The sequence below is a fragment of the Homo sapiens genome, chromosome 11 (assembly GCF_000001405.40).
Source record: "Homo sapiens chromosome 11, GRCh38.p14 Primary Assembly".
Lineage (NCBI taxonomy): Eukaryota > Metazoa > Chordata > Mammalia > Primates > Hominidae > Homo > Homo sapiens.
This window is the reverse complement of record NC_000011.10, coordinates 12,447,484-12,460,979: the sequence shown is the minus strand read 5'-3', so window position 1 is coordinate 12,460,979 and position 13,496 is coordinate 12,447,484. Positions and strand designations below refer to the sequence as shown.

The 13,496-nt window shown below is 44.0% G+C and overlaps 1 protein-coding gene across 2 annotated transcripts in view, besides 1 other annotated feature; it reads right to left on the bottom strand.

Moving 5' to 3' along the window:
* PARVA (parvin alpha) overlaps window positions 1-13,496 on the bottom strand; it is a 158,921-nt gene that overhangs the window by 74,377 nt on the left and 71,048 nt on the right. The window lies entirely within an intron of this gene.
* Window positions 7,907-8,408: an enhancer, noted in NCBI's record as "H3K4me1 hESC enhancer chr11:12474119-12474620 (GRCh37/hg19 assembly coordinates)". NCBI's record gives its function as "activates a minimal SCP1, AML or CMV promoter by ChIP-STARR-seq in primed H9 embryonic stem cells {active_cell/tissue: H9 hESC(primed)}" and the evidence as "EXISTENCE:reporter gene assay evidence [ECO:0000049][PMID:30033119]".

Sequence of the window (13,496 nt, the reverse complement as noted above, 5' to 3'; positions counted from 1 at the left end):
CAGTCCTGAACCAAGTCCTGAGAGCAGCGTACTCTTCCAGGGTTGAGGCAGCAATAGATGAGCGTTTTGGAGCCACAGGCTGTCAGCAGAACCCTAAGCAAAGGCACCTGGTGAAGCCTTGTCATCTCACTGGCCTTCGTCTTCATGCATCACCTGAGTTAAGTTTCCTCTCTTCATCTCATTCTCTGTGGCTCTTTGACCTTCATGTCTATATCCTTCTTATTTATGAATCCTGAACAGCCAGTCATTTATTTTTGCAGTGGCTCAGTGCTGCTTAAAAAGTGCCACATCAACTACTAGTCCACTGAATTCCTAAGAGGTAACCTTGGAAACAGCTCTCAGTGGGGCTAGTAAGCAAACAGACATGCTGTGTTCTGGTTGGATCGATTTGCTGGTGAGTTAATTCTGGGTTTGTCTGAAGAGTCGGTGGTTTACCCTGAAGAGCACTGTTTGTGGAAACTCTCTCCTGTCATCGATGATGATGATGGTGAGGGCACACACATTGTATGTCCCTTGTATCAGGTGCATCGATATAACACTTGGTTTTTTACATGTATTAACTCATATAATCTTTGCAACAATCCAATGAGTAGGTACTATTATTATCCTCATTTTACAGATGAGGAAAATGAGGCCCAGAGAGGTTATATAATCTGAACAAGGCCACACAGCTAGAAAGTGGAGCCAAGGTTTGATCCTGAGCCAGCTGGCTGCAGAGCTCTCACATCCTTAACACTATGCTATATGTTGTCCCAGTTTTATGTAGCAACATTTGCTTTCTATACGAAAATGTTTCGTCCATTAGGTTAGGCAGAGGAAGTGCTCCCCAAACACAATGCATATCTCTAAAAAAGGCCTGAAAATACATATCACACCATTTTTGCAAACCACATTTGTTGTGAAGGCATGGGAACACAGTCACTTCTGCATTCCCACGTAAAGCCAGGAGAAAATTTAATGGAGAATAATCTTGCATAAGCTAAGCCCTAGGGGTTGCCTGGTCATTCTATGGAGGCTCAGCCCCTGCAAGGACAGATTAAAAAGGAGGTGATATTTGAGCAGTGTTTTTGTTTGTTTTAAATAATGGTTGATTTTTTTTCTGACTATAAAAGAAAAACATGCTCTTTAAGATAACTTGGAAAATATTTTTAAAAAGAGAAAATAATCCTACTGCTTAAACTCTGTTACATGTTATATTTTCTCACAAGTGTGTCTATGTTTTATATATAGTTTCAAAACATACTGGGTTCTATAGCCTGCTTTTTTCATGTCATATAATCTTGTTATATTTCTATATGCCATAAAAATATCACTTTAAGTGGCTTCTCAATCTGTATTGAAGGTACACACCGTACATAACCATTCCGTAACTGTTGAACGTTTAGGTAGTTTCCAGTTTTTGGAAGGGGACAGTTGGGTCATTTCCCAGCTATGAAGGGTGAGTGGGTGCTCACAGGCAGACCAGCAAGGAATGTGGGGCCTCTGGGAACTCGTGCACAGTTCTATATGAGAGTTAGGGCACACGCTATTTTCTTTCTTCTTCTTTTTTCTTTCTTCTCTTTTTCTTTTTTTTTTGAGACAGGGTCTCTCTCTGTTACCCAAGCTGGCGTGCAGTAATATGATCACAGCTCACTGCAGCCTTGACCTCCTGGGCTTAAGTGATCTTCCCACCTTAACCTCCTGAGTAGCTGGGACTATAGGCATATTCCACCATGCCCAGCTAATTTTTGTATTTTTTGTTGTGGAGACAGGGTTTCACCATGTTGCCCAGGCTGGTCTCGAACCCCTGGGCCCAAAAATGCTGGGATTACAGGCTCAAGCCACCATGCCCAGCTGGCACAGGCTATATCCTTTCTCTTTCATGGGTAAGGAAGCCAACATCCGGAAAACTTCAGGGACTTCCCTGAAAAGATCCCTAACAGGATGATCCTAACAGTGAGTTGTCTCCTTTCTCCAATGTCTTAGTTTGGAGTTGCTTGAAAGCAGGAAAGAAATCCCAGGAAAGGAAAGAAGAACAAAGAAAGTATGACAGACCCAAGAAGAGACAATAAAGGTGAGTTTCTGAGCTGGTCATGTGGGGGTAACTGGGGCTTAATCCCTACTGGGGCTCTCTGAGAAACTGCAGAAAGTGTCTCAAGGCGACTTTCCCACTAGTTGAGGTTACCCCCAGGGAGTTCTCTCTCTCCACACTTCCAGGCTGTGCAGAGTGCAGGCTGAGGGGGCTTCAGAAGCCAAAGCCTTGAGACAGAAAAGGGGAGGTGTGAGAAGCTGCCACCCTGGGCTGCCACAGAGGGGGTAGGATGTGGGGTGCACAAGCATCTGCTGTGCCCACCCAGAGAACTGGGGGCCAGAGTCTTTCTCCCCTTTCCCCAGGAGAGAAATCACAGGAAACTGGTGGGGAGTTAGTATATTTTTAGGAGCAAATCCGGGAACAGAACATGCTCTTTTCCTCCAAGGAAGAAGCAACCAAGAATGAGCAGGTTGCAGAATCCTGTTCCTCATATATGACACTAGGCCAATGCCATGCAAAAACAGCATTTCCTCAGTCCCAACTCTATGGCAAGCCCATGCTGCTGAGATGATCAGGATGTCAGTCCTGTCCCTAGCCTGGCTCAGGTCTGGTCTGAGAAAATGCAGGCCATGCTGGCTGGGCAGCTCACTCTCAGTAGGGTATGACACTGTCCTGAGAAAACTCCTGGGGCCAGGCCCTGCGCCGAGGACTGTCCATTCATTATTTCATGCTTTACGACTCTTCTGGGAAGAGACACCTTCCTGGGAACGGGGCTGAAGTTTTGGAGCTTGTGCGTCATGTTAATACAATCGTGATCACAGCACTGGGGAAAGCCAGTGACCCCTTCATCTGATGGAATGGGGACTTGGAAAATGTACTCATTCCTTTCCTCCCAGTCTTACAGAATGATTGAGTACCTACTGTATGCCACACACTATTCTAGGAAAGAATGAACCCTGGCCCCAGGAGCTCACAGTCACACATGACCCCAGTCTCAGTGGGCTGAGGGCCGACTCTGGTCTAGCTCCAGTGGTGAAGGAGCACCCCTAGGTGAGCCTCACACTGCCAGGGGGGACCAGGGAGGGCTTCATGGCAAAGGCAGTGCCAGACCCTTTTGTGGACAGATCTCTACTCTTCTATCTCACTCACCACAGTTTGCAATTGTGCATATCTGAAGGACAACCTGTCTCCCCCCACTATTTTGAGTGGTCCAAGAGGACTGAGGCTTTGTGCACCACTGTCCTGCCAGGACCTGACACACAACACATGCTAAATACATATTTACTGAATGGATGAGTGGTCTGTTGATGCTGGCCCTGAGCAGTCTTCCCCTTCCAGCCCAAATACACAGCTCTCCCTTCTACACCAGAGCCAGGACGTTAATCATCAGAGGGTCTGGGCTTTAAGAAAAGAAGCTGGAATGGGGAAGGCTGAGGAACTGAGGCAGCAATGGAGGAAGCAGAGAGGGTGAGCAAGTGCTGGTTCTGAGAGGAGGGGTTCAGGACACTGACTGTGAAGCATTTTTGCTTATAACTTAGGCCTCTTTAGCATGAATGACTAAGCCCTGTCAGCAACTGGAAATCCATGGACTACTGCATTGGAAACAGCAAAACATTGCCAGTCACTGTGCAGCACAGACCCATTGCAGCACCCTGATTTTTTTTTCCTAAACCAACAATTCATGTTGACAGCAAATCTGTACAGAGAACCTATTAAAAGAAATTGTAGTAAATCGAAGATGCTTTAACTGCCTGTCTGACGTTCTGCTGATTGCATGCCTGACACTTCCACTATAGCTTCCTTTTGTACAACCTTCCATTTGATTCGATTCAATGGATAATTATTCAGTCTTGACTGTGGGCAAGGCAATGTGATGAGAGCCTCATTCCAGTTGCATCTTCTAGGCATAATTTAGCTCGTACACAAAAATAAACACGCACAATATAAGCATAGAGTGGCAAAGGCCATAAGAAACTATAAAAACCATTTCAAAGAAGATAACATTTTACCCATGTGAGCAAGTGTGGGGTAGCTGGTACAGACTCATTCATTTAAATGTGCATTTGACAGCATTGCTGACCAATGTTCCCAGGTCAGGCCCTGTGCTGTGTCCTGGGGTAAAAGGGATGAGTAAGAACCAGCCCCAGAGTACAGCATAGTACTCTATGGGAGCCTGGGGATATCACTTAAGTCATCTGAAAGTGGAAATCAGGGAGGGCCTCAAGAGGGAGGACATGCTTCAGTTGCTTCTTAAAGGGGATTAGGAGTTCACCAGGTGAAGAGGGAACAAGACATACAAAAGGGCTGGAGACATGAGAACAGGGAACATTTTTGGGAAGGTTTGCTGGAGGGTAATGGAACTGTGGAGTGCCCTTAGAGAGTTAAGTCAGGGCCATACAAGCCAGAACATACCAAGTATGAGTTTAATCCTGAAAGCAATGGGGAGCCACAAGATACAAGCAGAGTTTTGCAAGTCTGTAGGATGGCTGGGAACAGGTTCCCTAATGGATCCATTCAAGCAGAAGTCTTCATAGGATGTACACTACCCTGATGATACAGTTTGAATTAGCCTGGGCTCTGTAGAAAGGTAGATCTTGGATTAATCCCAGCTCTGACTATTACTTAACTTGTTCCCCCTCTAAAGTGGGAATCATGATACTTAGCTCACAGGTTTATAATGAAGCGTAGATGACATGGCACATACGAAATGCCCAGCACAGTAGTGCATGCCTTCGTAAGCATCCTCTAACTCTTGGTTTACCCTTTCCCTGCCTTTTCTCAGTACATGCCAACAACGCATACATACTGGGAGGGAGGGAAGGACTGCCCAGTGATGACCTAGTGGAATAAGAATGACTTGGCAAGCCAGCAGAGCTCAAAAACAAAACTGGAGGAGACTTTAAGAAATTATCATCTATCTCCTTGTCTTGGGTTTCAAACAGATGCAAAGAGACAGCAAGGTGAAAAAGGGACTAGAAAAGCCCCACACAATGCTTCATGACATTGAAGGACATTTTGGAACAGGTGGCATGGTGAAAGTACCCAGGCAGACTGGAGAAGGAATATTTTACAGGTGTTAATGGAGTCTGGAAGCTGGACACTTGAGGAAAGATGAAGATGGTATGGTGATGGCCTGGGGGCTGTAATGGGTGGTGGTGCTGATAGTGGAAACTGTGTTGAGATGAAGTTTCAGAGGTGGCAAGAAGCAGAAAAAAAATGGTGCTCAATTCTCACAGCACCTGGACTGTGGTCTCTAAATAAATATGAATGCTATTACCCACTAAAAGCAATCAGAGCTCCTTGGAGAAATGGCTGATTTTAGATCTAAAAATATATAGAACAAAAAATAGATGAGAAGAGCCTGGAACTAGAAACCAGTAAGCAATAGATTTCTACTAGATAGGGTTGTATCAAAGAGGCTTCCAATGGCCAAGGACAGAAAAATTTGAGCATCAATAAGGATATCAGCAATGGACCAAAACACATCAAAAATATTTAAATCCATGAGTTAATAATGACACTAGAAAAACAATATATAACACATTGCTACTCACCTCTGGAGGATGCTAGGAAACCCACTCATTTTGAAAACTGGTAAATAAAGGGAAATAATCTAACATTTATCCTGTTTTTCTAAATCGAAATGTATCTCTGGCTGGTCAAATACTTAATGAGGAAATGTTTAATGAATGAGAGTATTACCACTTGGAAATCCCTAATGGATTAATTATCTAGGCAATGATCATCAATAGCTCCTAACATCACAAAAAGAGAGACAACCAGAAGTAATGCTTCCCCATCTTCCCTGAAGAGACACACCACCATCAGTCCTATATCTACCCATCAGTTTTTGGGAAATGCAGGGGTCAGGGGAACATGACACCATCAAGATACAAGTAGCAAAGTCTAGACTGTGGAAAACTCTACAGGTTTCTTTAATAAATATATTTTATGACAGGATGTCCACCAGCTGCAGTGCATGGGCCTTATTTCAATCTTGATTCTAACAAACCAGAAAAACAATAAATAATAAGTTGGGCATGTGACTCATGCCTGATGAAACAATCAAAACTATGAGACTGAATAGCTGAACATGTTAAGGAATTATTAATTTTTTTACATGAATATAGTTGTGTTTTTTAAAAAGGATCCTTATTTTTAAGAGCTATAAATATATATGCTAAAATGATATATCTGGTAACCACTTCAAAATAATAAAATAATCTTCCAGCAGGGGCAGAGGGTCAGATGGGAAGTGTGAATGAAGCCAAGATTGGCCATGGATTGATCATTGTTGGCTGCTGGGTGCATTGGTAGTGTATTACACTATCTACCTTTGTAATTGTTAGAAGTTTTCCACAGTCAGAAGTTCTTCTTCTTTTTTTTTTTTTTAAATGATACTTTAGAACTGGATTGCGGGGGTAAAGCAGAAGTGACACACAGGCTTGTTTTGTAACATAAGGAGGCAGATCAAAGCAAGAAGCTTTTCAGACTCAGAATAATGTCCATCTGAAAAAAATATTCAACTAATGTAGCAAGCACAGATTACTATATTTAATATATAATGACTTTACTGTCAAAATCCATAATGAAAGTCTATCAAAGCCCCTAAGGAAAGTCAACAAATTACATTAAGTGGCAATTTGTGTAAAGAAAAAAATTATACTATTTAGTCAATATTGGAGAAAATATCCATCTTCACTGGTCTCCACTGAAATGTAGGTGAAACAGTGAAAGGGCTCTTTTCTATGAGTAGCAGCCCAGGGTCCTCTCACCACCTTCTTCCCTTCATATCTGCTCCGCCCACTTCCTGGATCCAAGGGCAAACACCAGCTCTGCTGAGGAGCCTCCAGGGGTTGCTTGTGACCTCTGGATCCCTCAAAGTCTCCTGTTTTCCCCCCAAGTTACTGTCTTCTCTGGCTGTGACCTTCAATACAAATGCCTTCCTGGAAGGGGCAAAGGAGTGGATTTGTGGTTTATACATTCATCCGTTAGGAAGGGGCTGCTAATCTGTGATGACAGCACAAAGGACCCCAGGGAGATGCTGTGTCCCCCACAATACGTCTTCAGGGGAACCAAGAGGGCTCGCTCACCATGGCCATCCCTTGGGCTCCACTGTGGCTGAAGGTTGCTTAGAGCCACCCTTTTTATTCCTTTATTAGTTATGTGTGTTTTCAGAACCCAATCAATGAGCCCAAACCAATGTAACCTTTAACCTGTCAAAATCTACAGGGAGGCATTTCAGCTCAGCCATCAACCCAAACATATGAATTTTCAAAACCATGTTTAACCTATGGGTGGAAGCCGAATGGAAAATCTTGCCAAAAACTTATGTGCACATCAATAAAACCCACCTCAGTTTCTGTTTTAATCTATTTATTCCAAACTATGTGGGAGAATTGGAAAGGCCTATTAGCCTTCACTGATTAGGAGCTCTTACAGTAAGATACTTGTACTTTTCCTATTACCGTCACTAATCAGAATGACAACACCCTCTCTACTCCAGCTATGGAGTGGAGCTCACTGTCAGGTCTTAGGAAAAGCAAGTAGCAGGCTCACAGCTCACAAAGGCCCAAAGCTTCTTTGTATTGTTTCAGAATCCTACCATTATGTAGGAGCACAGAACAGCAAGCAGTAAACTTAGGTAGAGCTTTTCTTCCGCAAGTCCTTTACTCCTTCATTTCTTTGTTCATCTTCACCCCTTCCCTCCTATCTCTAAATATCAGACACCCCCACCTACCCCCCATAGCTACCTCTAACAACAGAGCCACAATAAGGCAGGTCAGGATGATATAAAAACCCTTCAAATGCAAGAGGAGGAGCACTCACCATCTCAACTCAAACCCCAGAGACGAGCTGGGAGGTGGCCAGGGCGCCCCCCCAACAAAGAATCGCTCCCACCACAGCACGTTCAACTTTGTCCAGGCTCTGACCTACCTTGAGGGCAAAGTGCCCCGCAGCCCATGGTCTAGGATTTCATGGCAATCATGGCATCTTCTGCCCAGAGCTGACCCCCTCCCTGTGGTTTCTACCCTTCTGCTTTCAGACCAACTGGAGGTCTGTGAAGCTATAGGATCTTCTCAAATGCTTCCCGAAGAGAATGCCTCCTGCTCGGCACAACTCTCAGCTCAGTGCGTCAGTTGCAAACAAGTGGCTGCCTATATAATTTAATACGATGCCACTGGAGACTCACAGACCTGCTGCAAAGCAAGCGGGATTCTGCCTCTCGCCTCTTGGCAACCTGAAATCTGAAGTGCCTGCTTGTTTCTGCTCATTCGGGGTATAAGTTACCTGTAGAGCAGGGTAGGGGTGAAGGCTGGGCTGGGTACTCAAATGCTGGGGGCTACTGAGAAAAGAGTCTCACCTGGGGGATCTGAAATTTCTTAGCTGACTCACAGACTCAAGGTCATGGGGATCTGACAAAGGCAGAGGTAAATTGTGGGTATAGCTGGGTGACCCCAAGGCCACACTGGACACAGAGTGGCTATGCTGTGCTCTCAAAGCTTTTTCTCAGTTGTTGTGGGGAGAGCCTGTCCTATCAGGTGAGATAACTTAAACTAGATCACGAAGATCTAACTACTAGTTTAGGTTGTCTCTTATGATAGGACAGGCTCTCCCCACAGGAGAGGAGGGCATTTACATCCACTTTTCTAAGCACAAGTGTGTAATCTTAGGCATGCATTAAGGAAAAGAAGAAAACTTTCTCATTTTTGAATAACTGTCATTCTGGCCCTTTGGGTTTGCTGCTTGGTTGGCTTAATGCTAAGCCCTGCCTGGAGGCAGGCCCTGGAACCGTATACCTGTTTCCGCTTGCATATAAGGCAGGGAGATGAGCAGCACTGGCCCTGGGCTAAATGGATTGCTCAGGTGCCGGGACCAGTTCATCTGCACCCTGCTGGAGTAGCCCTGCAGGGTGGTGGTGGCAGGAGACTATCTGGGGTACTTCACCCTTTTGGAAAAGGACAAAACTCTAAGTCTCCACAGATCCCCTAAAAGCCCTAGAAGGAGGAATCCCGAGATGTAATTACTATGCTACCCATGATCATTTGAGAAAGGGGCTCTTTCCATAACCATCGGCTTTATGATGATCAGCTAAGAAGCGCGATATTCTTCAAGGAGCCAATGGCTAAAAGGTACAGAGTATGCAAATTTAGCTAACATTCTTGGATTAATAACTATTATGTAACTGTTAGGCTGAGCCTCTTGCACACATTATCTCATTTAATCTATAGGATGCAGACTTTGTAAATGAATTTATCATACCTACTGCCTAATGCATTAGAGTATGTAAAAGAGAAATCTAGAAATAGCACTGTAGGACTGAACTAAAAGGTTTTGATTCATGGCAAAGGAAATTTAATTAAAGCATGTAATGTCAATTACTGTCATTCATAATCATATTATACCTCCCCAGAAATAATACAGATATAAAAGTCTAGAGTTACCTGCATGTTTGATATAAATAGGATAAAATTATCTAGGTTCTGAAAATATCCAGATATCAGACAGAAAAAAAAAAAAGCATCTCTACCTAGCCTCATGTGTCATCAAATTTCATTAGGTAGGGACGTGAGTATCCAGCAGCAGGAAAACCCTTCCCTCCTCTGAGAGCAAGTCATAAGGCTTTCGAAGGTGCCTGAAAATCTGGGGTTTAACATACTCATGAGCTTTTAGCTGCTAGAGATGAGATGCTCTCCTTGTTTTGACAAGCCCCAGGAGAAACCAGAGAACTCTCAATAAACTTCCACTAGTTTGGGGACCCTGTATAGTGATAAGGACCAGATCCTCTCATGGGGCAGTTTTGAGGTCTAGTGGAAAGAAAGAGCCACAGGAAAGCATCAGGGCAAGAAAAACACAGCACACTGACCAAGCCACAGCTAGGCCTCAACTGGTCCTTCCAGGGTGTGATGGTTAACATAGAGTATCAACTTGATTGGACTGAAGGATGCCTAGATAGCTGGTAACATATTGTTTCTGGGTGTGTCTGTGAGGGTGTTGCCAGAGGAGATTAACATTTTGAGTTAGTGGACTAGGAGAGGCAGACCTGCCCTCAGTCTGGGTGGGCACCATCTAAATGAGCTGCCAGCACAGCTAGAATAAAGCAGGTAGGAGAAGATGGAAGAGCAGACTTGCTGAGTCTTCCGGCCTTCATCTTTCTCCTGTGCTGGATGCTTCCTGCCCTCAAACATCAGACTCCAGTTCTTCAGTTTTTGGACTCTTGGACTTCCACGAGTGGTTTGCCAGGGGCTCTCAGGCCTTTGGCCACAGACTGAATGCCGTGGGTCTCAGACTGACCCACCACTGGCTTCCTTGCTCCTCAACTTGCAGACAGCCTATTGTGAGACTTTACCTTGTGAGAGTGTGAGTCAATTCTCCTTAATAAACTCCCTTTCATGTATGCTTATATCCTATTAGTTCTGTCCCTCTAGAGAACCCTGACTAATACACATGGGCATCCAACACCCTGAGGCTTCATTCTCTTTTCCCTTAATCACTTAGCATATGTAGTATTGGCAGACCCAGAGCTCAATAGTGGGGTTAACACAAGATCCACCAGATCAGCAAGGTCCTTGCATTCTTTGGATTACAGTGCAGTGGGGAAAACAGACATTAATCTAAGAAATACACAAATTAATAAATACAAGCAAAGTTCTACTGTGTCCTAGTTTCTGCATATCTGAAATAGATTTAGAGAATATCTATTCCATGGGGTGGCGGCAAAGATGAAATGAGTCAATATGTACAAAGATCTTGACTTAATAAAAATTCTACTGGTACTACTATTATTCTTAGTACTAATGTGTAGCTTCAGCTGTTACCAGATGTGTGACCTTGGGCAAGTTACTTAACTCTCTCATGTCTCAGTTTTCTCATGTTACAATTTTCCCATAATGATCAGTTTGAGTAAAATGGGATAACAACAATTCTTCGTGAAAAAGATTAAATGAGTAAATATGCAGGAAGGGTTTGGAACAATACCTGGCACATGGTAAGAATCTATCTGATCAATGTTAGTCGCTAGTGGTGATTATTATTTTGCAAGAATCTGGGGAGTAGAATCCTAAGACAATACATCAGCTCATAATATGCTTACAATCTAGCTCAGAGTTTCTCAACAGAGGCACTATTGATCTTTGGACAGGATAATCCCTTGTTGTGGGGGGCTGTTCTGCACACTGTAGAATGTCTAATAGCATCCCTGGCCCCTACCCACTAAATGCCAGTAGCAATCCCCCACTCCCACAGTTGTGACAACCAAAAATATCTCCAGACATTGCTTAGTGTTCCCCGGAGGAGAGGCTGGTGGGAGCAAAGTCACCCCCATGGAGAACTACTGATCTAGCTGGGAAGTACCACATACAGAGAGGAAGAAAGAAGAATGCGGAGCTAGAACCTGTGGTAAAAGAGCAGCAGTAAGTCCATGAAGGGAACTCATTGACAGAAACAGGGAAGGTTCCTTAGAAGACAGAGCCTTAAATGGTGCTTCATGACCATTTTAAATGTATGTCCCGCCAGGTGCTGTGGCTCACACACATGTAATCCCAGCACTTAGGGAGGGTGAGGCAGGCGGATCACTTGAGGCCAGGAGTTTGAAACCAGCCTATCCAACATGGCAAAACCCTGTCTTTACAAAAATACAAAAATTAGCCAGGCATGGTGGTGCACACCTGTAATCCCAGCTACCGTGGAGGGAGGCTGAGGCGGGAGAATCACTTGAGCCGGAGAGGCAGAGGTTGCAGTGAGCCGAGATTGCGCCACTGCCCTCCAGCCTGGGCGACGGGGAGACTGTCTCCAAAAAATATAAAATAAAATAAAAATAAATAAATAAATAAATAAATAAATGCCCCTTTTGGTAAACATAAAAATCTTTTTATTGAGATTGAAATTTCAAAACAAACATCATGCCTAAACCCAAATTAAAGCAACTATAATATAGTGAATATTATTTTCCATTACAAACAGTTCCTTCCTCTCACTAAAATTCTGATAAAGCTTCTTAGCTAAATGTCAACTCACAGTGGTTTAAATAAGCTGGGAAGAGATAACAGACAGAGAGAAGGGAGAGAGTACAGAGAACCTAGGTCATCCCTGAAGAACTTGGAGAACATTGGAGCAACGTCTGCTGATATCTCTGGAAATGAGTCTAAATGTTACCCAAGTAGTAGTGAGTCTGCTTTCAAGATAGACAATGATCCCTGGCTTCCAGCTGTTGTATCCCATTCCATCCCCTCCCCATGACAGGGACCAGCTGACCTTCAGCTGTAACTCAGTTCTGCCTCATTTTCTAAGACACATCTTGACCTGAGGCTGACTCGGGCTCAACAGCATCACTGTCTGATCCCAGGGCACTGCTTCATTCCAATAAACGACAGTTCTAATCCATTACTCACGTTCTTATAACTGAAGTTCTGCCTTGGTCCCTGTTGATGAATCCCTGTCCAAGAATCTGCTGAGCACCTCATCCCAGAGAATTGCCAAGCACCCTTACCCAATGTCTGGAGCTACAACTCCTGGGTGTCCTAAGCCTGCCTTTCTGGACATCTGAGCATCATCCCATCCAACTGCTGCCGCACTCATCTGCCCTTGGAAACATCCTACTACTTTGTCTTGGATCCTTCTGTGTTGCTGTTGAATCTCAGAAGGATCACGGCTGCACCCATGCTGGCCAGGCTGCATCTTCCCCATTAGCGTGCAGGCCAGCAATCCTAGTGCAATCCTAGCCTGGCAGAAGGGTCAGATCTCTATGACCCCCCGCCTTCCTCATTCCATTGTAGGTAACTGGCCATGCTGCAACACGACCAAAATCTCTGAGTTTTGGTTATCTCTACTGTAAGGTAGGTTAATCAGATGTCAGCCCTGCACGTGATTCAATTGTAATTTATACACATTATAAATTGAGCACCTCCTATATGAAAGATACCTTGACAGGTGAGGGAAAGAGAGGAGAACTAATGCTGAAGGTTTATTTTGTACCAGACATTGATTTCTTGCTTTAAACAATTATTTTAACTCATAACAAACCCAAGAGGTAGATATATCATCATTAACATTTTCTGTATGAGAAGATTAAGTTCAAAGAGCCAGCAAAGCATCAGGCAGGGCCCTCAACAGGGGTCCTACTGACTTCAAACCTCATGTTCATTCCCCAACACTGGGAGTGGTCTTTTTGATGGGTGCCTGGAACCCTACGAGGTTTTTATCTTTTTCTTTCTTCCTTTTATAAATTTTGATAATATATTGGGCATCTACCTTCAGGGTTAGTGACTGTACTCAGAGTATTCATACAAACTGCTCTCAGCATCCTCTCCCAGTTTTTTTCTACTATTAAAATTCAGGTCACACAGAAGATGAAATGTGTTCTCCAAACTCTCTCAAGGGAGCTGAGTACAAATAAGTATTATAACTTTATGGGAGCTGCTGTCCCAGCAAGCAAGGCATGAGTGAGACTTGGATTTCCCAGAAGGAAGTCAATGCACCCATACTG